At 53.1% G+C, this 27,852-nt stretch overlaps 1 protein-coding gene across 4 annotated transcripts, besides 6 other annotated features; it reads right to left on the bottom strand.

The window, feature by feature from the left end:
• Positions 1–122: 122 nt before the first annotated feature.
• Positions 123–27,852, bottom strand: GPR35 (G protein-coupled receptor 35). Of its 4 annotated transcripts, none has more exons than NM_001394730.1 (6): positions 27,712–27,852; positions 26,670–26,895; positions 16,771–16,894; positions 15,889–16,306; positions 14,251–14,394; positions 123–3,333 (listed from the first exon to the last, which is right to left on the bottom strand). In NM_001394730.1, exons 5-6 carry the CDS (start codon positions 14,337–14,339, stop codon positions 2,400–2,402), a joined length of 1,023 nt encoding a protein of 340 aa, NP_001381659.1. In that variant the 5' UTR covers positions 14,340–14,394; positions 15,889–16,306; positions 16,771–16,894; positions 26,670–26,895; positions 27,712–27,852; the 3' UTR covers positions 123–2,399. The 4 variants fall into 4 exon arrangements, with proteins under 4 accessions (NP_001381659.1, NP_001182310.1, NP_001182311.1 ...); NM_001195381.3 differs by having other exon boundaries at positions 15,889–16,192; NM_001195382.3 differs by having other exon boundaries at positions 15,889–16,078.
• Positions 784–1,284: an enhancer, noted in NCBI's record as "H3K4me1 hESC enhancer chr2:241571415-241571915 (GRCh37/hg19 assembly coordinates)". NCBI's record gives its function as "activates a minimal SCP1, AML or CMV promoter by ChIP-STARR-seq in primed H9 embryonic stem cells {active_cell/tissue: H9 hESC(primed)}" and the evidence as "EXISTENCE:reporter gene assay evidence [ECO:0000049][PMID:30033119]".
• Positions 2,876–3,170: a silencer, noted in NCBI's record as "tiled region #3769; HepG2 Repressive DNase matched - State 17:Gen3', and K562 Repressive non-DNase unmatched - State 23:Low". NCBI's record gives its function as "represses a minimal TATA promoter and a strong SV40 promoter by Sharpr-MPRA in HepG2 and K562 cells {active_cell/tissue: HepG2 | K562}" and the evidence as "EXISTENCE:reporter gene assay evidence [ECO:0000049][PMID:27701403]".
• Positions 7,342–7,848: an enhancer, noted in NCBI's record as "H3K4me1 hESC enhancer chr2:241564851-241565357 (GRCh37/hg19 assembly coordinates)". NCBI's record gives its function as "activates a minimal SCP1, AML or CMV promoter by ChIP-STARR-seq in naive H9 embryonic stem cells {active_cell/tissue: H9 hESC(naive)}" and the evidence as "EXISTENCE:reporter gene assay evidence [ECO:0000049][PMID:30033119]".
• Positions 8,456–8,605: an enhancer, noted in NCBI's record as "active region_17409". NCBI's record gives its function as "activates an Ori minimal core promoter by ATAC-STARR-seq in GM12878 lymphoblastoid cells {active_cell/tissue: GM12878}" and the evidence as "EXISTENCE:reporter gene assay evidence [ECO:0000049][PMID:35858748]".
• Positions 11,509–11,648: an enhancer, noted in NCBI's record as "active region_17408". NCBI's record gives its function as "activates an Ori minimal core promoter by ATAC-STARR-seq in GM12878 lymphoblastoid cells {active_cell/tissue: GM12878}" and the evidence as "EXISTENCE:reporter gene assay evidence [ECO:0000049][PMID:35858748]".
• Positions 11,669–11,728: an enhancer, noted in NCBI's record as "active region_17407". NCBI's record gives its function as "activates an Ori minimal core promoter by ATAC-STARR-seq in GM12878 lymphoblastoid cells {active_cell/tissue: GM12878}" and the evidence as "EXISTENCE:reporter gene assay evidence [ECO:0000049][PMID:35858748]".

Raw genomic sequence — 27,852 nt, 5'->3', positions numbered from 1 at the left:
CCCGGTTCCAAAGTTGCTTCGACATTTTTGGGTATCTTTACAGCAGCACCCCACTCTCTGTGGTACCAATTTACTGCATTCGTCTGTTTTCATACTGTTATAAAGAACTGCCCAAGACTGGGTAATTTTAAAGGAAAGAGGTTTAATTGACTCACACTTCAGCATGGCTAGGGAGGCCTCAGGAAACTTACAATCATGGCAGAAGGTGAAGGGGAAGCAAGGAACCTTCTTCATAAGACAGTAGGAAGGAGAAGTGAAGGGAAGAGCCCCTTATAAAACCATCAGATCTCATGAGAACTCACTCACTATCATGAGAACAGCATGTGGGAAACAGCCCCCATGATCCAATTGCCTCCACCTGGTCTCTCCCTTGACACATGGGGACTATGGTTATTATAGGGATTACAATTCAAGATGAGATTTGGGTGGAGACACAAAGCCTAACCATATCAGCCCTCCTGGGTATGGACTCTTCTGGACATGGACCTTCCTGGGCATGGACACTTTTAGGCATGGGGCCCTCCTGTGCATGAACTGGCCTGGGCATGGACCCTCCTGGGCATGGGCCTTCCTGGGCATGAGGATCTCATGGGCATGGCCCTTACTGGGCATGGACCCTCATGGGCATGGGGTTCTCCTTGACATGGTCCTTCCTGGGCACAGGGCTCTGTTGTGTATGGGCCCTCCTAGGCATGGACCTTTCTGGACATGAACCCTCCTGGGCATGGACCCACCTCAGCATGGACCCTCCTGGGCATGGAACCTCCTTGACATGGACCCTCCTGGGCTGGACCTTCCTGGGCATGAACGCTCCTTGACATGGGCCCTTCTGGTAATGGATCTTCCTAGGCAGGGACACTCCTGGGCATGAACCCTCCTAGGCATGAATCTTTCTTGACATGGAGCCTCCTGGGCATGGAGCCTCCTGGACAGGGACACTCCTGGACATGTATCCTCCTGAGCACAGGGCCCTCTGTGCACGTGACTCTCCCGGGCATGGGGCCCTCCAGGGCATAAACTCTCCTGGGCATGAACCCTCCTGAGCATGGACCCTTCCAGGCATGGGACCCTCCTGGACATAGACCCCCCCCAACCAGGCATGGACACCCTTGCGTATGGACCCTCCCGGACATGGGACCCTTTTGGGCATAGAGCCCTCCTGGGCACGGGACCCTCCTGGGAATGAGGCCCTCCTGCTCATGGACCATCCTGGGCATGGACCTTCCTGGGCATGGGCCCACCTGGGCATGCACCCTTTTAGGCACAGAGCCCTTATGGGGCTCTCCTGGGCATGGGCCCTCCGGAGCCTGGGTCCTGTGAGATGCCATCAGCCGCATGCTTGTGCCATGTCCCTGCCAGAACATGACTGCCATCTCTCTCCAGTCCTGTGGAACATGGAACAGGGTGGGGCGGTGCCTGTGGACATGCAATATGGGATGACAGGATGGGGTTTGAGCCCAGGCCGTGCTGGCCCACACTCACAGGAGGTCTCTGGAGTGCCCTGTCCTTCCAGCTTGGGTTTCGAGATGCCCTCCATGCAGGAGTACAGGAGAGGCAGAAACCAGCAGGACATCGTGCCTTTACCTGAGTGGGCACCCAACCCCTGCCCCTGCCAGACATGGTTTCCAGCCTTTCCCTGAAGGAAGGAGAAGAGGGCTGGGTTCCTTGACAGACCCTGGCCACCCCCTTCACTGCCACCCACCCCAACCCACCCTCACCTGCTTGACCTTGGTCACCCCCCCTTGCACCGCTGTGCAGCCCCTACATGGAGATCAGCTGCTCCCAGCCCTGTCTTGAGCAAGGAAACCTGGGCTGGGGGCCTCTACTGTGGTCCTGCCAGGAGCTTCCAACAGCCCCTGCTCACGCTCCAGGTGGGTGGGGGTGGGAAGGGGTGAAAGGGTCCAAGGGGGACCTCAAAGTGAAGAGCCCCGAAGGGTCCCTGGAAGATGTCCGCCAGCCCTCTGAGCCACGCGCTCCCTCCCTGCCTCCCACCACACGAGTGCGAAACACAGAGGGCCCCACTAGGACTGACTCTGGGTGGGGAGTTTTATTCCAGCCCCGAGGGGCAGCGGCAGGTGTCATCAAGGCTGCACCCTGGCCAGCAGGAACCCACTCTGGCCAGGTGAGCTGGTTCTGGGGGTGGCAAGTGTGAGGCCCCATCCCGGGGGTCTCTGACATTGGCCTTGCTCTGGCCTCAGTCCTCTTGCCCTTGTCCCTGTCCCTCTCTCTTCCCAAGAGAGCAGGTACCTGGGCCGTCCCTGCCCACCCAAGGCTCCAAGAGAATACACAGTGAGTTCAGGGCTGATCTCGGGCTCCTTGCTACTGGTTCCAGCTTCCCCTGGCAGGCAGCACCTCCCGGAGCCCCCGAGACCTGGCCCACAGCGCCCACAGCACGCCTCTTAGGCGAGGGTCACGCACAGAGAGTCCTGGCTTTTGTGGGCCTTAGCACTGGGAGCCACGGCCAGTGCAGACGCCTCCTGGAACTCCTTGGCCATGTAGTAGTAGCAGATGGCGTCCAGGCAGCAGTTGGCATCTGAGAGCTTGCTGGTTATGTACAGGGCGCGACGGATCGTCTCCAGGAGGGCACAGGCGTTCCAGCCCACTGCGAGGCGCACTGTCAGCCCCACGTGCAGGGGCAGGAAGCAGACCACGAACACCAGGAGGTTGGCCCAGACCATGCGGGCAGCCTTGCGGGTGGCCTCTGCCTGCCCCACGTCGGTGGGTGGCCTCTGGGCCAGGGCAGTCACCACCTTCAGGGAGCAGAAGACCACCACGGCCAGGGGCAGGTAGAATCCCAGCAGCGGGAACGCCATGGAGTTGAAATTGTGCCGGGTGCTCCTGAAGCAGAAGCCGCCCTCCTGAATCCCCAGGAGCCAGCGAGCCACCAGGGAGCCGATGACCAGCACCCAGAGGACCGCGCACACGGCCGCAGCCTGCCTGGGGGACCGCAGCCCGCGGGCACGCAGCGGGTGCCGCACGGCCACATAGCGGTCCACGGCGATGGCCGTGACCAGGCTGATGCTCATGTACCTGTTGGTCAGGTAGATGCCCTGGGAGAGCTGGCACAGCGGCGTGTCTGAGGTGTCTCGCAGGGAGTGCAGCACGAAGGGCAAGGTGCACAGCAGGCAGAGGTCGGCCACCGCCAGGTTGGTCATGTAGATGCGGGTCTCCGTCCACTGCTGCATGCGGCAGCAGAACACCCAGAGCGCCAGGCTGTTGAGCAGCAGGCCTAGCACCAGCAGGACGCCCAAGTAGGCGTAGAAGCCCAGCTTGATCGCTGGGGGCCAGGTGAGGTCGCTGGAGCCACAGGTGTTGTAGGTGCCATTCATGGTCCTGGGGCAGCACAGGGAGCCGGAGGTCAGCAGAGAGTGAGCAGGGGGAGCAAGGCACTGCCCCCACTCTGCCCACCTCTGGGCAGGGATGTGGGAGGAGGTGAGCCCCGACCCCACACCCACAAACACAAAACTCCTCAAAGAAAGCATGGGTGCCGTAAAGAACTCCAAGTCACCCTTGAGGTCTAACCCCTGGACAGATCCTCTTCCCATCTCCTGAGCTCTTCTCTCCTGGGATCTGCCTGCTGTCATGGGGCAGGAAAGGAGGCAGAAGGAGCTCCACGTTCCCCTCCAGTCCCCAGCCCAGCAAGCCCTACCCTCCAGAGCGCAAATCCTGGACAGGGAGCCCAAAGGGCCACCAGCCTTACCCAGCACACAGCTCTTAGCAGGGAGGGCTCAGAGGCAGCAGCACCTGTCAGCCCAAGGACGGGAAGACCAGGCTCCCGGACAAAGCCCAGGGTGGCCCCTCCACCCCTCCTGGCACCCGGCTGCAGGAGGCACCCACATTTGACTCCACACCTGCATCAGCCCTTCCCCACAGCAGAGTCCAGGACAGCTGGGACTCTGGCCTGCCCCTACCTCCCTGTGAGCCCACCCACCCAGTCCTGAGCTCTGGAGGTCCTGCCTGCATCAGCCTGAGGCCCCATCCCAGTCCCACACCTGGGATCAGGGATTCACCCCTTGAGCTCCCAGGGGCCAGAGCCTGTGACGGCAGCCCTGCCCCTTCAGGCCCAGTCGTGCTGCTCAGGGGCCGCCCAGGGGTGGAGCTGAGTATCCTCCTCTCCGTCACTATCAGGACCACCCACAAAGTCACCCCTCCACTGTCCACGCCAGCCTCTCGCTGTCCCCAACACCCTCCGCGACATAGCCCAGGAAGGCTGAGACCAGCCCCGGCTGGACCTGGGCAGGGTCTGGTGTCCAGGACACGGGCTAGAGTCATCCTGACTCGGCCACCCCTGCAGCTGGGCAAACTTGTTTCCTCATCATAAGGGGTGCTGGTGTCACACGCAGGCAGGTGTGAGACGGAGCTGCTGGTGAGCGCCCAGAGTCCAGGACTCACAGCCACACGTCCCACCACCTGGGTTACTCAGTGGGTCCAGGAAGAACCCGGAGGGGTGAGGGCGGGAGAAGCCTCTCCCCCAACCATCAGGCTGTCCTCTGGGGCATCCTGCAGTGGCTTCCTGCTGGGCTGGTATGGAAGGTGGGAAGGACTCAGCCCACAGCGAAGGGCCTTCCTCCTCCCTCTGCCTCCTCCCTCTGCCCAGAGGAGCACAAAAGGTCCCCCAAATCAGGAGGGGAGAGCGCCCAAACCCCGTGACTGCAGCTGCTGGGGACCATTAGTGCTGGGACGCATTTCCCCACGGTGGTCCCCGGGAACTCCAGGTCCCCAGTCCATGAGGGATGGAGGGCACAGGTTTCAGACAGAAACGAAACATTCTGCCCCCTGGCTTCATTCTGTCTCCTTAGATCCCACCTCTGGTGAAGTACAGCAGATATTTGCTGACTTCCAAGTTTCAGGAGCCCTTCCCCCGAGTGCAAAGTGCTGCACGCCCAGTGGTCTCTCTCCTCCCTTCTTGAGGGTCCTGCTTGCTTTCTCTCTGATTCATGAGCAACACTTCACCCTCGTTCCAGGGACTTTTGGAGGGACCCTGAGCCAGGCCAGGCTCCGAGGACATCCCCAGAACCCACTGGAACCAATCGCTGGGATCTTCCCTTCCTGTTGGGCCTATACTCCTGTGGCAGCCCCCGCTGGGGGCCAGGAGATCCCAGAACCTGCTCAGAATCTACACCTCAGAGGCACCTGAGCTGGGCAGGCACTGTGCGTTGGGGAGGGCTCCGTGCGACTGGCCTCCTACTCTCCCCACCTGAGTACTTGAATCCACCAGAAGTCCAGGGCCAGCCTTGGGCGGTGTGCAGACCTGGAGGGGGAGGGGGTCTGCACAGCTAGAGGGCGATTCTTTTGCTGCCCCACCTTGAGTAGAGGCAGCCTGGGACCCTGCCTCGTGGGAGGTGAGGACCCGAGGGCTCGTGTGCCTAGACCCCTTCCCATTGCCCCAGCTTCCCCCATCGCTCCCCATGGCTGCCAAGGGGCTCTCAGGTCACACATACCCAGGGCTGCAACTTTCATACTAGCCTCGGTGTGGCCCAGTATTTTGTGGGGGAATGTTTAACTGCAGGCAGGCACGGTGGCTCATGCCTGTAATCCCAACACTTTGGGAGGCTGAGACAGGAGGATGACTTGAGGCCAGAAGTTTAAGAACAACCTGGGCATCACAGGGAGACCCCGTCTCTACAAAAAAAAAAAAAAAAAAAAAAAAAAAGACAGAAAATTAGCTGGGCTGGTGATGCGTGCTACTCGGGAGGCTGAGGCAGGAAGACGGCTTGAGCCCAGGAGGTTGAGGCTGAAGTGAGCTATGATCCCACCACTGCACTCCAGCCTTAGGAGACAGAGTGAAACCCCATCTCTAAGAAGAAGAAAAAAACTCTAACTACAACATTTAAATTTTCCTGTTTATAATAAAACAAACACTGAACTATTAGGGAGAAAAATGCAAATGTTGCAAGAGTTTCGAGGTGCACGTAGGCTTCGAAGAAGTGCCCTGTTCATGGGTCCTTGTCTCGCCCGTGGAGTGCCTCCCAGAAAAGTTCAGGAAATCAAGGCCCAGGCTTTAGCCCAGATGGCATGGGGCCCCTGGGAGCTAACATGGCCAGCACAGATGCCCACCTACTGCCCCAGTCCCGCACAGGAATCTGTGTCCAGGCCGTGGACCGTAGCTGGCCTCCCGCCTCAGCTCCTCAGGCCTGTCTTCCTCGACAGACACCAGCACCATCAGCCTCAGGGAGCTCCCGCTGCCGGGGACCGTGGGGATGGGGCCCTTCCACTTCCTGCCCAGGAGGCTTTGGGGATTGGAGCCAGCAGCACGCCTCTGAGGCCCCGCTTCCCCTTCTGATGACAAGGTCACCCTCGGCTTCTGCACACAAAAGCAGAAAAGTGCCCTTTGATTCTGCACTGAGTGATCCAGGAGAGAAACCTGGCCATAGACGGGCGATCCAGCCACACCAGAGCCCCTCCCCAGCCCTTCCCCCTGTCTGGACCCGGGACCCGCCCAGACCCCAGAGTGCCTGGCTGGCCTGGGATTGAGACCACAGGCCCCAACCACTGCTGAAGACGTGGGGGCACGCAGTGAGGTGCAGATCCCTGTGGCCCAGGCACCAGAGTCCCCCGTACCTGTGACCCCACTGGGCCTGGGCCCCACACAGCACACCACACCCCAGGACCCAGGATGGGGCTGTGAGTGACACGAGTTCACCAAAGTAGCTGCTCACCTCGGGGCCACAGCACGGGGTATTCTTCATTCTTGTTTTTAAATGTCACATCCCACACTCCAACAAGCTGCTACCCAGACACAGGCTCCAAGTCTTCATCAGCCTCAGCCACCCCTGAGACCCCAACAGCCTCAGCCCACCTGAGACCCCAACACAGCCTCACCTCACTGAGACTCCCCATCACAGCCTCACCCCACTCTGAGACCCCATCACAGCCTCACCCCACTCTGAGACCCCATCAGAGCCTCACCCCACTCTGAGACCCCGTCACAGCCTCACCCCACTCTGAGACCCCGTCACAGCCTCACCCCGCTCTGAGACCCCATCACAGCCTCACCCCGCTCTGAGACCCCCATCACAGCCTCACCCCACTCTGAGACCCCCATCACAGCCTCACCCCACTCTGAGACCCCGTCACAGCCTCACCCCGCTCTGAGACCCCATCACAGCCTCACCCCGCTCTGAGACCCCCATCACAGCCTCACCCCGCTCTGAGACCCCCATCACAGCCTCACCCCGCTCTGAGACCCCGTCACAGCCTCACCCCACTCTGAGACCCCCATCACAGCCTCACCCCACTCTGAGACCCCATCACAGCCTCACCCCACTCTGAGACCCCATCACAGCCTCACCCTGCTCTGAGAACCCATCACAGCCTCACCCTGCTCTGAGAACCCATCACAGCCTCACCCCACTCTGAGACCCCATCAGAGCCTCACCCCACTCTGAGACCCCCATCACAGCCTCACCCCACTCTGAGACACCCATCACAGCCTCACCCCACTCTGAGACACCCATCACAGCCTCACCCCACTCTGAGACCCCATCACAGCCTCACCCTGCTCTGAGACCCCCATCACAGCCTCACCCCGCTCTGAGACCCTGTCACAGCCTCACCTCGCTCTGAGAACCCCCGTCACAGCCTCACCCCACTCTGAGACCCCATCATAGCCTCACCCTGCTCTGAGACCCCATCACAGCCTCACCCCACTCTGAGACCCCCACCATGCCCCTGCCCCGCTGGGAGGCCCCTAGGGCAGTGGGCGGCACTGACCTGCAGGCAGCTTTGGCCTCCCGGGTGGAGTGTGTGACCCCCGCTGCCAAAGCCTGCACAGTGGCTGTCTGAGAAGGGCTGGGGGAAGTGAAGCTGGGGTGAGCCACCCCTCAGGGCTGGTCCCTGACTCTGCCCCTCCTTAAGGTGGGGGGGCGGGCGGCTGACTGACGGCAGCAGGTCAGGGGTAACAGGAGTTCCCCACTGCTCCTGCACCAGCCCCAGCTAGAGGGCGTGGGGGATTTCTGGGAGGGAAGTGGGGTGCCGGCTGCCTGTGCTGACACCTCTGAAGAGCCAGCATCCTTGCTGAGGGCACACATTTGTTCTGGAAACAGCGTGAGAGACAGACAGCAAAACCAGAGACGCTCCAGCCCCGCCCACGGAGCCTTCCTCCTCCCCAGCCCACTTCTGCCCTGTCATCTCGGAAACCTTCCCAGGGCCCAGCCCTCCCAGGGTCTGCGGTCAGCTCGCCCTCCCCAGCGCCTCATGCCCAGCCCCAAGACAGGGTGCAGCACGCACACTCATCCTGGTTCATGCAGACACGCTCCGTGGGCGCCTTCCAATACACACACACACGCTGGCACACATGCACACACACATGCACACGCCAATGCACACAGGTGAGAGGCACACGCAGGCAGGCTGGCTCCTCCCCTGCTTCCCCCCGACTTGGCCACCGGCCCCTCCTCCAAGCCCACCCCCTCAGAAGCCTACCCAGACCACCCCTATCTGGTCTAGAATATTCTCCCTGGCCCCCAACTCCTCAGCGGACATCTTCCTTCTGAGCTCATGGTGGGGGAGCCCGTAGGCCCAGGCTGCGCCCCCATGGTGCAGAGCACCCCCTTCCTGGGCCCTGTCCACCCTGAGGGCAGGAGCCTCGTCTCCTCAACGTGGGCCCCACAGCCCCTGACCACAGCCTCTCCCTCCTCAACGGCTGGGATAGGCTGGGGAGAGCTTCAGTTTCACCCCTCCCCACTTTACAGCGGTGGAAACGGACGCCCAGGGAAGGGAAGCGCTTGGCCCAGCGTCACACAGGTGGTGGCAGGTCTGAGACCAGTGCCTGGGCCTCCTGAGCCAGACCAGGGCTCTCTACCCAGAGGCACGTGAGGAAGCCCTGGCTGGGCATTGGTCCTTCTCTGCTGTCATCCCGGGCCTGGTTCCTGTCCCTTTCTTCCTGCTTCCTCCTGCTGTCCTTCCTGCCCTTCCTCCTGCTTCCCCGGCTGTCCCTCCAGGCCCAGTCCCCAGTGTGCGCCCTTGGGTTCCCTGCCCAGTCTCCATGGGCCATGATGTTCATTGGAGAGGGGCCTCATCCTCGGGCAGGAGGCTCAGATTTGGGATTTCATCCATCCCTCACTCTGGCCACAGGGTCTGGCCTCTGGGGTCAGCAGAAGGCACGGCACCTGATCAGTCCAAGCCCGGCCGCCGTCAAGCAGGGACTGGAGGTGCAGGGCACGGCATCTCCCAGGAGTGCTCCTTCCACCTCTGGCAGATCAGATGGTGCCCCAAGCAGGCCTACCCAGCCCACCAGAGCCAGGGCCCTGCAGAGCTCCCCCACCCCCCCCACCACCAGGCCAGCCATGAACTCCACCGTGCCCCCTCTGCTGGGCATCACTCCTCCCCAGCAGTGGCCTGGGGCACCCCGTCCCCACCAGGCCTGGCCTCCCTGACGTGGCCTGGCACCTGTGCTCCTCACACACTGGAAGGGAAGCCCCACTGGGCAGGGCCACATGGTCCCAGCGGATTCTTCTGGGCTGTGTGGACTTGGGGAAGAAACTGGACATTTAGAGACTCTGACTGTCTCTGGGAAGGGCCCCTTGCCACCAGGTTCCACCTGTGTACAGGAAACGCTGTCCCCAGCCCACCCCCTACCTCTCTCCATCTGCCCCTTGGCTGTCTCCGCAGGCACTTCAGGGCAGTCCCACCCAGCCTGGAGCCTGGGCCCTCGTGCTCTGCCCCCTCCCACTCAGGCAGGCCTTGCCCGGGCCCCTCCAGAGCGCTGTTTCTCTCCTAGCTCCCCGCTCACCCCCAGGGCCCCTCTCTCCCCAAAGCTGCACCCTCACGACCTGTTTGCACCCTCACGACCTGTTTGCGCCCTCACGACCTGTTTGCACCCTCACGACCTGTTTGCGCCCTCACGACCTGTTTGCGCCCTCACGATCTGTTTGCGCCCTCACGACCTGTTTGCGCCCTCACGACCTGTTTGCGCCCTCACGACCTGTTTGCGCCCTCACGACCTGTTTGCGCCCTCACGACCTGTTTGCGCCCTCATGACCTGTTTCCAGCCCTTCACCCTGTTTGATTTTATCACAGAACTTATTTTTTAAGTAACCCTTTCTGCGCACTGGGCTTGTGCTTGTGGGACTCTATCTGCTTCCTGCCCTGTCGGGGCCCTGGCACAGAGCCCGGCCTCTGTGAAGCTCGACGACCGCTCACCCACAGCGACTCCGGCCGCGGGGCTGCGAGTGCCGGGGACATATCAGGTGCTCAGTCGTCGTCGGCGCCCGGCTCAGGCACGGTCGCCTGGGGTCCTCTGCTGCTGCTCAGGCCCTTCTTCGAGGACACCCGGAGTCCCCAGGTTCGAGAGGCCAGATGGCAGGTTTCCAGTCCAGGCCAGGCCTGTTCTCTCCCTGCTGGGCAGCTTCAGACCACCTGGCCCTCTGCGGAGAACTGGCAGCCAGGGTCCTGCTGTGGGCACGGGGGCACTGCCCGGGGCCCTCCGCCCCCAGCCTCTGCTCCTGGGCAGCTTCCTCTCCGAGGCTGCCCCCTCACCCCCAAGGTTAGCCCCCTGCAGCAGCGCCAGCCCCTCCCACTTCACCCCGCTGGGCTGTATGTGTGACGCGAGGAGCTCCGAACAGGATTCCTTCCTGCCCCTCCTCCTGCTTCTCCAGCTAGAGCTGCCGGACGCCACCCCTGCAGCCCTATCTAGGGGAGCCTCTGCAGCAAGCTTGTCCAACACTCGGGCTGCGGGCTTTGAATGTGGCCCAACACAAATTTGTAAACTTTCTTAAAACATTATGAGATTTACGCAGAGACCTTTTTTTGCTCATCAGCTATCGTGAGTGTTAGTGTATTTCATGTTTGGCCCAAGGCAATTCTTCTTATTCCAATGCGGCCCGGGGAAGCCAAAAGATTGGACAGCCCTGCTTTGAAGGGAAGTCTGTGAGGCGATGTCAGGGAAGCAGGAGCCTGGGAGAGCCAGAGAAAAGCCGTTTACGTTCAGCTCCACCTTGAGACCAATGAGGCACATACCTGCCAGCCACAGCCCATGGTCATACGATGTTTACAGCTAAAGCAGCAGCCAGTGACGCCTGCGTGGACACACTTCTATGACAGCAAAGTGTCCAAGTGCCCTGGTATCCAGAACAATATATGCTTTCCAGACAACTACCCTTGGCCGGACGCGGTGGCTCAGGCCTCTAATCCCAGCACTTTGGGAGGCCAAGGTGGGAGGTTGGCTTGAGCCCAGAAGTTTGAGACCAGCCTGGGCAACATAGCAAGACCCCATCTTTACAAAAAGTAAAAAAAAAAAAAATCAGCCACGCATGGGGGTGCATGCCTGTAATCCCAGCTACTCAGGAGGCTAAGGCGGGAGGAGCACCTGAGCCTGGGAGGCAGAGATTGCAATGAGCTGAGATCGTGCTACTGCACTCCAGCCTGGTTGCAACAGAGCAAGACCCCGTGACAGACAGTTTTCTTTAAATCAATAGAATAATACATGTTAGGCACAGTTTAGCTTAGTCTTTACACAGACGAGACCCCTGTATGAGAAAAAGTTAAAGCTGGGGTGTTCCCCCTCTTGCTTTCTGACGACACCCTGCTCTGTAATGGAGCAACTTTCAATAAACCCTCTCTTCTCACCACATTCTGACTTGCCTCCACTTCCTTCCTGAGTGAGACCCACGAAGCATGTCTTGAGGTCTGAATCGAGACTCCTTTTGCAGTGAAGCTGCCATCCTAAATGAGTCGCTTGGATCCTCATGCGTCCTTTGCATAGTTTTGGTTTACTAAAACAACACATTGGCTGGGTGCAGTGGCTCACATCTGTAATCCCAGCACTTTGAGAGGCCGAGGCAGGGGGATCACGAGGTCAGGAGTTCAAGACCAGCCTGGCCGACATGGTGAAACCCCATCTCTACTAAAAATACAAAAATTAGCTGGGCGTGGTGGCGCGTGCCTGTAGTCCCAGCTACTCGGGAAGCTGAGACAAGAGAATTGCTTGAACCCGGGAGGCGGAGGTTGTGGTGAGCCGAGATCACGCCACTGCACTCCAGCCTGGGCGATAGAGGGAGACTCCATCTCAAAAATAAATAAATAAATAAATAAGAAATAAAACAACACATTACGGTTTATCTTTATGACTGTTTTTCTGGTGTCCCTTCAAGCGCTGTGCCCCCGAGGCCAGTGCCTCACTTGCCCACCCAGCAGCTCAGGCAGACCAGTGGGGTCCTCTGTGTGGGGGCTCAGTTGTGGACCCCGAGAGAGGATGTGAGTACACCTCCCTCTTCTCGAGGTTTCCCTGTCACCCTCAGCACTTTCTGTTCCCCTCTTCACAGAACCAGGTCTGGAAGTGCACGTCCTGCTGGGAAACTCCCCTCCCCCACTGATCTTGCCTAAAGCCTGGCGGTGTCACTGTGAGGGGCTGGGGACCAGGACACAGGGTCTCTGTCCTAGATGCCCTGCTTTTGTGTGTATTTGATGTTTTCCATAATAAAAGTGTATAGAGAACTGAGTGTGTGGCCACAGAGGGGCAGGGGAGGGCAAAGCCTGTCAGCTGTGGGGCAGAGGAGGTAGCGGGCAGGGGTCCTGGGGGGTGGCTGCAGAAGACTAGCACCTGTGGCCTAAGGTCCCCTCCAGCCAAGACCCCGCCCTGTGCTCAGCCTCCTGTGATGGCCCCATCCCCACAGGGGGTCCCCACAGCCCAAGTGCAGGGCCCTTGGCAGGAGCTGGGCACCACCGCAGGACGAGCAGGGGACACGGGGTCCCAGGGGTCTGGAAGGGATCCTGAGGGGCCCTGAGAGGACCACGATGGGGGCAGGAGGGGTCCTGAGAGGGTCTGAGGGGCTGCAAGTCGCACCCAGGGCCCTTCCCTGCCTCCCCCGTGCCCACGCCTCCCTTCACCAGGCACCCTCACAGTGGAGCCTCCAGCTCTGCCCACCTGCAGCAGGAGGCCCCTGGGCACTCAGGGGCCGTCTCCACGCCTTGGAACTCCTGCCCCACCTTCACCCAGCCTATGGGGTGTCGAGGCATCTGGCCACCAGCAGGGAGATCCCAGCCCTGGCCACCAAAGGCCAGAAGAGGCTCCTTGGGCTGAGGGCAGGTGACCCCAGCCCCTGGGCCACCCCCGCCAGCTCACTCACCCTGATGGCTCCCACTGCCTGCTCCTGGGGACCCACTGCTGCCAGATGCCCCGCTGGGGTCCCCACCTGGCCTCGGGGTGGGCCTTGGGTGCTGCCCCAGCCAGGTTTCTGCTATTTCCAGCGGCTTTCCCTTTTCTTGGCCCTGGACAGCAGGGCCACCCTCTCGGACTCCTTCCCCTTCCTCTGCACAAGGCTCTGTGACTGGGAAGCTGCCTGCTCCTTGGCCCTTCAACTGCCAGCTCTCTGTCCCCATCCCTAGGGCCCTCCCTTCTCAGCAGAGAGAGCCATCGGGCCCCCGCTTGAGGCCCTCCCAACTCACTCGCCCTCCTGTCCAAGAGCCCCGCTCCTAAGATCCTCACTCCTAAGTGCCACTTCCTGGCTCGGGAACCTGCAGAGGCTCCCCACTGCCTGCCTGAGGCCGCCTGCCAGCCGCTGGAAGGTCCTCCACTCTGGGGAGACCTCCGGTTGGGGGAGTCTGGCGGGGAGGGAGGAGTAACTCTTGAGAGCGGAGTGTGTGTCGTGTGCTGTCATCCCCGCCCTAAACTGAACCATAAACACCCAGTGGCTGGACAAGGAAGGGGCAGTCCCTCCAGCAGGGATTTTCCCCACGTCCTCCCCGGGGCAGCAGGATCCCGGCCTGGCTGGCTTGCAGCAGCCTGTCTAGGATGGGCCCAGGAAATGGCAAGTTTAATCACGCCCAGGAGCCACTGAGGCAGAGGGTCCTTAACCCCAGAAGAAGCACTGTGTGGAGAGTTCTCACTCCCGTTCTTTTGCCCTATCCTGGGACCACCAGCCTTCAGAGACACTTCCTCCGGAGCCAGGCAAGACGCCTGCTGATAGAGATGGGAGTAGACGCTCACAGAGGAGATGTAAATTGCTCCTTAAAGATACGAAACGATGCTCAAAACGATCATAAAAAGAGAAACACAAATTAAGCTCAAAACGATCATAAAAAGAGAAACACAAATCAAAAGTTCACTGCAACACCATTTCTCCTCCATTAGTCAGGTCAAAATCCAAGAGTCTGACCACAATAGAAAGACGTCCTCGGATATCACCCATTGATCACTGATCTCTAAGGTGGCACAAACCCCCAGGCAGGTGGATTTGGCAATATCTTTAGCCAAATTAGAGATGCATTTACTCTTTGACCCAATAACCCCACTTCTAGGAATGTACTCACAGAGAGACGCAAGGACTATGAAGCATGTACTTCAGCAGCTCTTCACTGCCACGGTGTGGAGTGGGGACAGCCCGGGAACCACTCAGCATCTCTCCCAAGGGCCCAGGTTGAATGAAGCGTGTTCACACCACAGGACACTGAGCACTTGCAAAGAGGAGGGAGAAATATTTCTACACACTGTCATATGGTCATCTCCAGAATGTATTTGTAAATGAAAAAAAGCATGTTTATGTACATATAGACAATTGATGTGTTTTTAGATGGAGCCATCAGCTGTATGTTTTACAAATGGAAAGATAAGCTACAAAATTTGCTTTAAATTAAACTGTTACCTGTAGGAAACAGGTGGAAATGGGATGGGGATAGGGACGGACTTCTGTGACCATATCTTGGTTTCTAGATTTGGATTTAGACTCATGTCAAATGTTTGTGTAATTACTTAATTTAATTAAATTAACTTGTAAAAGGAATTCTTAAAATTGAAAGCAAAATGAAACTAACTGACTTGCATTATGGGTTGACAATATGAACCTACCAAACTCTTCCAAGTGATTTTAAAATCCAGTCATTTGGATGTATATCCATATAGCCTGACAACAAGAAAGAATGGCAAAAGAAGTTTTCATTATTTTAAGTAATCATTTTCCAAATAATTTTAAAACACTGTTTTGTCTGTACGTCGACACAACCCAAGGACTTTAAAAGTATCTAAAAATAATTTTAAACTATTTTCAGTGGTTATATACTGTTGATGGTAGTGTTGGTAAAGTCATTTTGAAAATATTGTGTGTGTTACAGGATAAAACAAATGAATAACTATGTTGGGTATTGTTTGAGATTTTTGGTGTGGGAGAAAGGAGATGCAGATATATTATCAATAAGATTAAGTAAAAACTATGTAAATCCGAATTTAAATAGAAAGTATCCATTTGTACTCATAATGTGTCTTTCAAAAAAAAAAGCCTTAGTTCTGTCCACTGACAAGGCCTAAAAATGACGACAAATCCAGTAACCACAAGCACACCTAACACCCAGACTGTGGTCTCTAAGTACCATTTCTCTTGAAGAGGAAGAGGGGCTCTTGGAGAGAAGTGTATGCTGTCCAATCTGGGTTAGGAAATGTCTAATGTAATTCTGGAATGTCTTCTTATGCCAGAGAACAAAGTAGCTGTCAAAGATTATTAGGGCAGTGCCAAAGGGGCTCAGGAGTTAAATCAAATAGGCTGGCACTGGACAAAGACAGGAAGATCTGAATATCAATAAGGATAATAATGTTAATGGGAACATCAAAAAATGTTTAAACTCATGAACTTGTAATTATACTTTAAAAACTCATTAGTCATTGTTGAAAGATGCCAGGAAAACAGTTCATTATTTTATAAATGAGGAAAGGAAGGGAAAGAATCAAGCATTTGCCCTGCCTTTCCTATGCAAACTGTACCTCAACATGACCAAAGAGTTAATGAAGGAACACTTCTTTTTATAGATACATTTCTGCTAATAAATAATGAAGGAAGACAGAAGTAGAATATCACTACTTTGCAAACCCTGATGGATGAATGAAACTAGCATTAGGGTTAATTATCTATTATTTTAGCTGTGCATTGTCAGCTACCTATTGCTACACAAAAAAATTACCTCTAAAATGAGAAGATTAAAACCACAGAGTTTTATCTCCCAGTTCCTGTGGGTCAGGAATTCGGGCTCTGCCAAACTGGGTCCTCTGCTCAGGGTCTTTCATGAGTCTGCAATCCAGGTGTCAGCCGGGGCTGCAGTCTCATCAGAAGGCTCAGCTACGAGGAGATTCACTTCCAGCTCCCCCAGGTGGCTGTTGGTAGAGTTTCAGGTCTTTCATGAGTCTGCAATCCAGGTGTCAGCCGGGGCTGCAGTCTCATCAGAAGGCTCAGCTACGAGGAGATTCACTTCCAGCTCCCCCAGGTGGCTGTTGGTAGAGTTTCAGGTCTTTCATGAGTCTGCAATCCAGGTGTCAGCTGGGGCTGCAGTCTCATCAGAAGGCTCAGCTAAGATGAGATTCACTTCCAGCTCCCCCAGGTGGCTGTTGGTAGAGTTTCATTCCCAATGGGCAGCTGGCCTGAGGACCCCAAATCTTCCCTGGTTCCTGCCCTCAGTTCCTTACTGGCCATGCCTCTTCACAGGGCAGCACACAGCATGGCATCTGGCTACCCCAGAGCCAGCGAGAGAGAGTATGCATCCAAGACAGATGCCATGGTCTCTTTCAACCTAATCACGGAAGAGACAACACATCACTTTTTTTTTTTTTTTTTTTTTTACTGTATTGTTTGTTATAAGTGAGTAAGTCCAGCCACCCTTCAGGAGGGAATTGCATGACAGCAGGAGGCAGGAATCACCCACTGGGGGGTCTCTTGGCAGCTTCCTGCCACATTCGTGATCATTGGTGGCTGCTGGCCTCACAAAGAGACCACCAGATATCATGAGCCCCCTGGCAGAAATGCATGCCCTGCTGATGAAGTGGGCTTGTCAAAAAACCAAAACTCTCACCTGAATCTGGTGAAGTATCGGAGCTGACTCGCAGTCGACAGGAGATTGGCAGGCATGGGAACTCCAGCCATACAGGCTGGACTTTGCAAGTCCAGTCTGCAGGAAGCTGCACAGGGCAAGAGACCTAGGAGGGGAATAGAGAGACGGAGGAGGAAGCTGCCAACTAAGAACCCAACAGGTATGTCGGCCGGGACCGCGGGGACCTCGTATGCATCCTGTGGAGCCACTGCTGTCGAGGTTGGGACCACGAGCCCAATGGAAGGTCACCCTCAGGCCTGTATTCACGACTGCAATAGTGCAGGCAAGAGGCAAACAGAAGGAAAAAGGTGCCGGCTCCTCTACGTCCCATTTTTGCCCCCTGGATGACATCAGGCAGATGGGGAGATGATCTCACTACCAAGCAGGCGAAACAGAAGGCTCAAACAAAAGGATCTGGCCTGGGGAACCGTGGAGGAGGCTAAGGGTGGAAAGTGCCGTCTGGGGCAGGAGGGCTGCTTCTCCTGTGGGGCCTGCTGGCAACAACTGCGGTTGGGCCTGAATGATCACACAGAGGATTTTGGCCTGCAGCCAGACTCCTCAGATCCAATTCAACCAAATAAGCTCTTTTTAAAAACGTATAAGGTGGGAATTGAGCCTCATCTCCCTTCCCTGCTGCAAAACTCCATTGTGGTAGCCTCCGTTGAATAAAGTCTACCTTACTGTTCTCTAAAAAATTGTAGAAGTAGAGAAAATGTAAAAGTTAACTCCTGTTTGTTGCAATTAAGGAAAGGTTCATTTCTTGGCTAGATGTGATAATGCTTACTGTGGTCATGTGTTTTTAAAAGTCCTTATCTTTTATTCATGTGGCATTTTTTGTAGATAGAAGGATATGATGTCTGGCACTTATCTCAAAACATTTTGAGCCCATAGATGGAGTGTGGTGAAGCACAATCAGTTGTGACTCTTTGGCTCTTGCCAAAGGTGGGGTGATGGGCACAAGGGGTTATTACACTTCTGCTTATTTCAGTCTGAACATTTCCAAAATAAAAGGTCAAAACCAAAGGTGGCCAAACACCCCACTGCTAGTCTGTAGAAAACGTGGGAGTGTGTTGTGGCCTTCTCCTTTAACTCCACGGCAGTGCAGGAGAAGATGGGGTTTCCTCACTGGCCCTGAAATGAACGATCCCTAAGCATCACAGGCAGGGGAAACAGACGGAGAAGGGACTCACGGGTCTACATGAGGCTTAGAGAGGACTCGGCAAGGGGCTTTTGGGCACCATCTGAGCAGGAGGGCAGCGTGCTGGGGCCTCGTGAGCCCTGGGGAGACTGCACTTGGGCTCGAAGGGCCTGGGTGGTGGTGCAATACAGCTTCTCCCTCGCCTGTCCACGTGTATGTGTACACACACACACACACAAGCACAGGCATATACATACACACACAGACACATGTAAACATACACACATGCACATATACTATACACATGCACACACATAAAAACAGACACATCACACAAGCACTGCATACACACATGCACACTCGCATATAAACACACATAGATACATATACAAATACACACATAAACATGCATACACACAAGCACACACAAATGCATATATATGCACACATATATACATATATACACATACACATATATATAGATACTACATATACATACATAGATATATACACATACAACATACACACATGCACATGTGCACATACACACACACTCTGATAAGCTACATCATTGGAGGGGCCTCTGGGTGGAGGGACAGGACTGTCAGCCCGCATAAGCCCGAGCCAGGGGCATGGCGGTGCCATGCCAACTGCGCCTACCCGGTCCCTCCCTAAAGGAACTCACACAGAGATGGACACCAGGCAGGAAGCACCCATGCTGGGGGATGAGCCCCCTTCCACATGGGCAAGGGGAGAACCGGGAGAGCAGAGTCCTCCTCAGGACCAGGGGCAGGCCTGTTCCAACGGCTCAGGTGGGTGCCAGTCTTTGTACCCTCAGCCCCAAATCCATGCTGCACAGGTGGGGAAACCAAGGCCTGGGGGCCAGGGGCTGGCTCAAGTCCCTGGGAAGTCTGAAGGGAGAACTGGAATGGTGATCGTGAAGGTGACGGTTAAGGTGAGGTCTGACATTGGCTGAAGAGTTGTTTGGATCAGAGGGTGCATTTGGATTAGGGTTAGGATTGGAGTTAGGGTTAGAATTAAGGCTAGAGGTAGAATTACAGTGAGGACTAGAGTCAGGGTTAGGGTTAGAGCCAGGCTGTGGTCAATACAAGGCTTAGGGTTAGGGTTCAGGTTAGGGTTTGAGCCAGGTTATGGTCAACATGAGACTTAGGATTAGGGTTTGGGTTGGAGTTAGGGTTAGTGCTAGGGTTTTGGCTAGGGTTAGTGTTAGGGTTAGGCTTAGGGTTAGGGTTGGAATTAGGGGTTAGGGTTCGGGTCCACATGAGGCATGGTTAGGGTTAGCGTTAGGGCCCACATGAGGCATTGTTAATTAGGTTTAGGGCTCGGGATAGGGTTAGGGTTGTAGTTGGTGTTATGGTTAGGGTTAAGGTTTGGGTTGAGTTAGGGTTAGGGTTAGAGTTTCGGTTAGGGTTATGGTTGTTGGAGTTAGTGTTATGGTTAGGGGTAAGGTTTGGGTTGAGTTAGGGTTAGGGTTAGAGTTTTGGTTAGGGTTATGGTTGTAGTTGGAGTTAGTGTTATGGTTAGGGTTAAGGTTTGGGTTGAGTTAGGGTTAGGGTTAGAGTTAGGGTTTCGGTTAGGGTTAGGGTTCGGGTCCATATGAGGCATTGTTAATTAGCTTTAAGGTTCGGAATAGGGTGGAGTTAGTGTTATGGTTAGGTTTAGGGTTAAGGTTTGAATTGAGTTAGGGTTAGGGTTAGAGTTTTCGTTAGGGTTTGGGTTCGAGTTAGGTTCGGTTCTGCCTGAATTTTAGGGTTATGGTTAGCATTAGGGTTGGAGTCCACATGATTTATGGTTATGGTTAGGGTTATGGTTAGGATTTGGGTTCAGGTTAGGGTTCCAGGCCACACGAGGTTTAGGTTTATGATTAGCATTAGGGTTGGGGTCCACATGACTTATGGTTCATTATGGTTTACTTGGTGCTCCCTCACTTTAACCATCTGATGAGATTCTTCACTCCTTGTCCAGGGCCTCTTTTACACACTTGCACTCAAATGCACACCCTCCAACACTCCCCTCTCCACCCTCATAGTGCCAGGTAGGTTTTCCCATGTTCTGCTGTCCTCTCTGCTCACTCCTCATCTTGAAGGCCTGGTCAGTGTTTCTTGTCCCCTCTCCTCCTCCTTCTGGGTGGCCTGCAGCGCCTGCTGTCCCCACACTTCACCTTCTCCTGTTCCGCGTATCTTCTGGAGCTCTTGTTTACTGAGCATCCCAGCTGGTCCCTGAGCTATCAGGCTCTGCCTCACTCCTTGTCTGGGGTTACTGAAGGTCTGCCACAGCTCATGTTACAGTTGAGGTTGGAGTTCCAGGAATTGCCACTGATGAGGCTGATTGCTCAGCTTCTGCAGTTGTGCAGAGTCTCTGCTGTCTGCAGCTGAGGCTGGGTTATGTCCGCGCCCCTGGGAGGTCGGGGACAGTGACTCTGTGAGCACAGCTCCAATCGCAGAATTCTGGAGAACCATCACCAGGAGGCCCTGCAGGCTGGGATGTGGATCCCACCCATGGCCACGGTTCTCACCCACGCTCTGACCTCCCCAGACCTGCCCTTCCCCTTCTTCCTCTGGAGAAGCCCGGATTTGATCAGCTGTTTGCCTCCTCCCGAGGCCCCGCTGGCTGCCAAGCCCTGCTGAAGAGCCGTGTGCGGCTCAGGCCAGTCTTGCAAATTCCTCTGAAAGAGAAGTTCCCACTCACAGAGTCCATTTCCTCACACCCCCTCGGGGTCCACCTGCTGAAATCTGGATCCCACCATGGTCAGCCCACCAGAACCTCTCACTGAGGAGGTGAGAGCCCTTTGGACTCCCATGTCCCTAGAGCCCAGAGCACAGCTGACAGGCAGCACCTCCACGCACCCACCAGCAGCCTTTGGCCAAGTCAGTAAGTCCCTAGTCCTTTTTTTTTTTTTTTTTTTTTTGAGACAGAGTCTCGCTCTGTCGCCCAGGCTGGAGTGCAGTGGCGTGATCTCCACTCACTTCAAGCTCCGCCTCCCGGGTTCACGCCATTCTCCTGCCTCGGCCTCCCGAGTAGCTGAGACTACAGGCGCCCGCCACCACACCCGGCTAATTTTTTTTTTTAGTAGAGACGGGGTTTCACTGTGCTAGCCAGGACGGTCTCGATCTCCTCACCTCATGATCCGCCCGCCTCGGCCTCCCAGTCCCTAGTCCTTTTTAAAAAATGTTTTAATAAGATGTTGAGTAGATCTAAATGAACACCAATGCACCCACCGTGAAAGTGAAGGAACAGAACTTAAGATGATCTTTGAGGCCCCCTTGCACTTTGCCCTGAAACATCCTTCTGCCAATGTCCCAGAAGTAACCACAAAGCCACTTCCTCGTGTGGCCTCCATGACACACGCTTCCTTGTTTTGCTCCTTCGCTGGCCTCTCCTTTCATCTCTACTGTCCTGCATTTGGGTCCCTAAAATGTTGGGGCTCCTCAGGGTTTGGTCCTGGACTCTTCCTGTCCCATCGCACGTTCTGCATCCACAGACTACCTTGTTCCCATTCATTCAACAGTCACCCCTCTGCCCTTCACCCCTAGAGCCAGCTCCAGCCCCGGACACTGCCCTGAGCTCTGGACCTTGTAAAGAAATGTCTACCAGGTATCTCCTCTTGGATGCCTCAGAAGCACTTTAAATGCAACTTGTCCAAAACTGACCACATCATCCAGCCCTTTCATCACTCCCCAAACTAATCTTCCTTCAAAGTCTCCATCTCAGAGAGTGGTTCCTCTTGTTACCCAGGCCACATATGTCAGTGTCATTTTGGAATCTTTCTCCCCCCATTCCTCCTACATCCAATCAATCATAAATAAGTTAAATATGCATATCATAAACCCTATTGCAGCTAATGAAATGATAAAACAAGGAAGTATAATAGTCTAGAAGAGATAAGTGAAATACAAAATAGTCAACTAATCCAAAAGAAGGCAGAAAAAGAGGAGGGAAAATGAGTACAAAGAACAGAGGAGATGAATAGGAAACAAATAGCAGATGGTAGGTTCAAACCCAACCATATCAACCATTACATTAAATGTGACTGAGGTAAACAATCCAGTTAAAAGACAAAGACTATTGGCCAGGCACGGTGTCTCATGCCTGTAACCCCAGAACTTTGTGAGGCCGAGGTGGGTGGATCATTTGGGGTCAGGAGTTCGAGACCAGCCTAACCAACATAGGGAAATCCCCATCTCTACTAAAACTACCGAAAAAAAACAAAAACAAAAACAAACAAACAAAAAAACACAGCTGGGCGTAGTGGCACGCACCTGTAATCCCAGCTACTCAGGAGGCTGAGGCATGAGAATCACTTGAACCTGGGAAGTGGAGGTTGTAGTGAGCAGAGTTCATGCCACTGCACACTAGCCTGGGTGACACAGTGAGACCTCATCTCAAAAAAACAAAAAGACAGGCCGGGTGCAGTGGCTCATGCCTGTAACCCCAGCACTTTGGGTGGCCGAGACAGGCAGATCACGAGGTCAGGAGATCAAGACCATCCTGGCTAACACAGTGAAGCCCCATCTCTACTAAAAAAAAAAAAAATTAGCCGGGCGTGGTGGCGGGCGCCTGTAGTCCCAGCTACTTGGGAGGCTGAGGCAGGAGAATCACTTGAACCAGGGAGGTGGAGGTTGCAGTGAGCCGAGATCATGCCACTGCACTCCAGCCTGGGTGACAGACCAAGACTGTCTCAAAAAAAGAAAAAAAAAAGTTAAAAACTTAGCCACGTGTGGTGCCACATGCCTGTAGTCCTAGCTACTTGGGAGGCTGAGATGGGAGGATTGCTTGAATCTAGGAGTTTGAGGCTGCAGTGAGCCCTGATGGTACCACTGTATTCCAGGCTGAGTGACAGGAGACTCTTCGTCTTAGGGGAAAAGAAAGCAAGAAATGACAATATGCTGTCTGCCTGATATGATATATACTTTAAATATAAACAAAAGTTAAAAGTAAAAGAATGAAAACAATGTAAAAGAATGGAAAAATTTATAAAATGCAAGCATTAATTATAAGAAAGCAGGAATAAAAATATTAACATCAAAGTAGACTTTAGTATAGGGAATATTGCAAAATAAAAAAAGGGACATTTCACGGACCAGCGTGTTGGCTCACGCCTGTAATCCCAGCACTTTGGGAGGCTGAGGTGGGCAGACCACAAGGTCAGGAGCTTGAGACCAGCCTGGCCAAGATGGTGAAACCCCGTCTCTACTAAAAATACAAAAATTAGCCAGGCGCAGTGGTGGGCACCTGTAATCCCAGCTACTCAGGAGGCTGAGGCAGGAGAATCACTTGAACCCAGGAGGCGGAGGTTGCAGTGAGCTGAGATTGCGCCACTGCACTCTAGCCTGGTTGACAGAGCGAGACTCCATCTCAAAAAAAAAAAAAGGATATTTCATATGAAAAAAGGGTCAATTCATCAAGAATATCTAACAATTCTAAATGTGTATGTACCTAATTACAAAGAATCCAAAAAATGAAGGAAGCTGATAGAACTGAAAGGATAAACAGACAAATTCATGATTGTGATCGGTTATTATGACACCCTCATCTCAGTAACTCACAGAACAAGTAAACCAAAAATTAGTAAGAATATGATAGCCCTGAGCAACACCAATCATCTTATCCAAACTGATGTTTATAGAACACTATGCCCAACAACAGCAGAATATATAATCTTTTCAGGTGCACATTGAACATTTTCCAAAATAGTCCATCTGCTAGGCCATAAATTAAGCCTCCATAAAATTAAAAAGATTTAAGTTATACAGAATATGTTCTCTAACTACAACAGAGCTTAATTAGAAATCAATAGCAACAAGGTATAAGACACACAAAGAATGCCCAAATATTTGAAAATTAAGCAACACATTTAAATAACTCAGGGATCAAAGAAGTAATCAAGGAGACATAAGAAAATACTTTGAACTAAGTGATGATAAAAATGCAACTTTCCGGTCTTTGTGAGATAAGGTTAGTGTGATGCTTAGAGGAAAATCTGTAGCTCTCAGTGTTCATGTTAGGAAAGAAGAAAGGTCTAAAATCATTACCTAAGATTCCACTTTGAGAATCTAGAAAACAACAACACCAAGAACAAATGAAACCCAAGTAAGCAGAAGAAATAAGAAAGAGTGAAAATTTGATGTACTAGCAGAAAAAAACGAAAATCAATAAAATGGAGATTGGTTATTTGAAAAGAAAAAAAAATTGAGAAAGCTCTGGCTAGATTGATCAAAGAAAAAAAATCCACAAATTACTAATATCAGGAATAAAAGATGAGACATCCCTTCAGACCCTACAGACATCAGAAGAATAATACAAGAATATTAGTAAGAACATCATGAAATTACATTTGACATCTTGATGAAATGGAAAAACATCTACTGAAAGTCACAACTTGCCAAAATTTACACAAGAAAAATAAAATGTAACAAGCTTATATCTATTAAAGTTGTTGAATTCATAATTTGAAGCCTTTCTACAAAGAAAATACCTCACCCAGATGGTGTTACTGATGAATTCCATCAAACACTTAAGAATAAAATAATACCAATCTTAACCACATCAGAAAAAAGGAGAAACACTGGCCAGCTCATTTTCTAAGTCAAGTTTTACCCTGTACCAAAACTGGACAAAGATATTACAAGAAAAGAAAACTACAGGCCAATATCATGCATAAACATAGACATAAAATCCTTAATAAAATATTAGCAAATCAAATCCAGCAATATATAAAACAAATAACACATCATGAAAAAGTATGCAAGAAATAAAAGGTTTATTTTAGCATTAGAACATCAATTAATAGAATAAATGGTAAAATGTATATATTTATCTCAATGGATGCAGAAAAATATTTGACAAAATGCAACATCCATGAATAATAGAAACTCTCGGCAAACTAGAAAGAGAAGAGAACTTCCTCAACGTGATAAAGATCACCTATAGATAAACTATAGGAAACTTCAAGCTGGGCAATGGTAAAAGACCAAACTTTCTCACTATACTCAGAAACAAACGAAGTGGCTCTCACATTTCTATTAAAAACGGTATTGGAGGTCCCAGCCAGAGGAAATAAGGCAAGGGAAAAAAGCAGATAGAAAAGGAAGAAGTAAAATTACCTATGGTCACATGTGACATAATCATGCATGTAGAAAATTCAGCTTGGCACAGTAGCTCAGGCCTGTAATCCCAACATGTGGGGAGGCTGAAGTGAGAAGATCGCTTGAAGATAGGAGTTCAAGACCAGCCCGAGCAACATAGCAAGACCCAATCTCTACAAAACATATAAAAATTAGCCAGGCATGATGGTGCACACCTGTAGTCCTGGCTACTTGGGAAGCTGAGGTGGGAGGATCACTTGAGCCCAGGAGTTTGAGACTACAGTGAGTTAAGATTGCATCACTGTACTCCAGCCTGGGCAACAGAGTGAGCCCCTGTCTCAATTTAAAAACAAAAAAGAGAAGAAGAAGAAGAAAGAAGAAAGAAGAGGAGGAGGAGGAGGAGGAAGAGAAGGAGGAGAAAGAAGAAAAAGAAAATCCTAAGGCAGAAGAAAAAGAAGAGGAGGAAGGCGGGGAGTCGGGAGAAAAAGAAAATCCTAAGGCATTTACCAGAAAAGAACAAAAGAAGCAAAAAACACTATGAACTAATAAATGCATTATCAAGGTTACAGGATACAAGATTAATATACCAAAAAATGCACTTCTATATACTAGCAAAAAACAATTGGAAAATAAAACTAAAGATACAATACCATTTACAAGCATTGGAAAACAAAGTACCTAGGCACAAGTGGGAAACGTATGCTTGAAGTTACAAAATATTGCTGGGAGAAATTAAAGAAGATCCAAATAAATGGACAGGGTTCAGCACAGTGGCCCCAGCCTATAATCCCAGCACTCCGGGAGGCCAAGGTGGGTGGATTGTTGGAGTCCAGGCGTTTGAGACTAGCCTGGGCAACATAGCGAAACCCTGTTTCTACTAAAAAACAAAAATGCAAAAAATTAGCCAGGTGTGGTGATCTGTGCTTGTAGTCCCAGCTACTCGGGAGGCTAAGGTGGGAGAATCACCTGAGCCCAGGAGGTTGAGGCTGCAGTGAGCTGAAATCCTGCCACTGGACTTCAGCCTGGACAAACAGAGTGAGATCCTGTCTCAAAAAAAAAAAAAATTTTTAAAAAATTAAAAATAAGTAAATGGATGGGTATACCACGTTCATAGATTGAAATATGTCAGTCCTCCTCATAGTCATCTATGTGATCAATCCAATCAAGCATTAAGCACCATGCCCCAATGGTTTTGCTTCCTGGGTATATGTCAACACTAGCCTATTCTCCTCTCCATCACCTCCCACCTAACCCAGGACACCACCTTAATGTCTGCAACAACTTTTTAGTTGGTCCTCTACTTCCAATTCATCCTCGAGACTTCAGCCAGAGAAAGATTTCAAACATATGTATGTTAGGCCCTGCTTTAAACTATGTAGTGGCTCCCAATTGCCCAGGAGATAAGACTCAGGCTCCTTAAACAACACTTAAGGCCCCTGCTTACATCTCCAGCCTCAGCTCTTGCCATATTCTCCAAGCCCACTCCCCGCACTGCAGGCACAGAGAGCTTCTTTCAATTCCCTGAGGGTGCCCAGCCCCTTTCCTGCCCTTGGCTGACCCTCAGCTGGTCAAGGAATACCCCCCCTGCCACTCTCACCTGTTCTTCTATGAACCCCCTGTCTGAGTCAATGGATTACCTTTGTGCAGACGGTCCTCCCTAATGGATCATGCATGCCATGGGGGCAGGGGTGAAGGATGTCACGGCCGCATCCACAGCTATCAGCAGTGTGCCTGCCACCCCACACATGTGCTTAGGAGGCCTCAGGATGGAGGGACAGTGGGCAGCAAGATGGTGGAAAGTGATGCGTCCACGCTTTTGATGTCCTCAGAGGGCTTGGAGAAGGAGCAATGAGCCCATGTCAGCTGCAACACAGAGACAGGCACACAATGCCACAGTGCCCGATGTCACGTCCATCCAGGCCCCAGCCCAAGCCTGGCTGCTCCTCCCCTGGCAGATTCATAAAAGGACTGGGTGTCCCAGGCAGCTAAGATGGGCCCAGCCTGAGCCTTGACCTGGGTAAGGGACACTGCATATGCCCGACTAAACCTACTAAACCTGGTGCCATGTTCCCTGGGATCCCTGAGTGAGTGTTGTGGTCCCAGCCCAGATCTGAGGCAGTGCTGTCTATGTGGACACTGGCTATACCTGCTGGGGACTAGAGAGGAATGGCCGGGTTTGGGGGGCAGCACTAACCAGATGGCCTGCAAGCTATGGCCAGAGCCCTGCAGCCATGGTCTGAGCTCCCCAGGATGCTACAGAGAGCCGAGAGCTCCGGAGACTCCCAGGTCAGCCTGCCTGCCAAAGCCTTTCCTCCAAAGCAGAAAAGACCCTTCCCCTGATGAAGCAGCCATGTGCAGGGCTTCACGTTGGGATCAAAAGGCCCCAAATTATCCCCAGGAATAAAATGATTCTTCCACTAGTTTCAAAAGGCAGCAAAACTAGCTTAAGTCTGGCAAAAATTAGGTGAAAACAAACAAACAAAAAAAGCAAAACCAAATGAAGACTCCAAGGGACAGCGAGCAAGGCGCAACCATGAAGAAAGCACGAGCCCAAAGTCCAGGTCTGAACACCTTGGCCCCAGCCTGGCCGGCCGCATCCTGTGTCCTGCCCGGGCAGCCCTGCCCCGACCAGCCCTCTCCCTGACTACCGCTCTCAGGACACAGGATCTCGACACTCACCCCAGAAGCTCTGCTGCCCCCAAGGCTGGCCCAAGCCTGGAGGACTGTGAAAGAGAAGACGGCAGTATCAGGACCGGGTGGGACACGGCTCCCACCAAGGAGTCACCAACTGCTGTGCCTGGAGCTGGAAGTGACTAAAGG

This window comes from Homo sapiens, chromosome 2 (genome assembly GCF_000001405.40).
Source record: "Homo sapiens chromosome 2, GRCh38.p14 Primary Assembly".
NCBI classification, from domain to species: Eukaryota; Metazoa; Chordata; class Mammalia; order Primates; family Hominidae; genus Homo; species Homo sapiens.
This window is presented reverse-complemented; position numbering and strand designations above follow the sequence as displayed.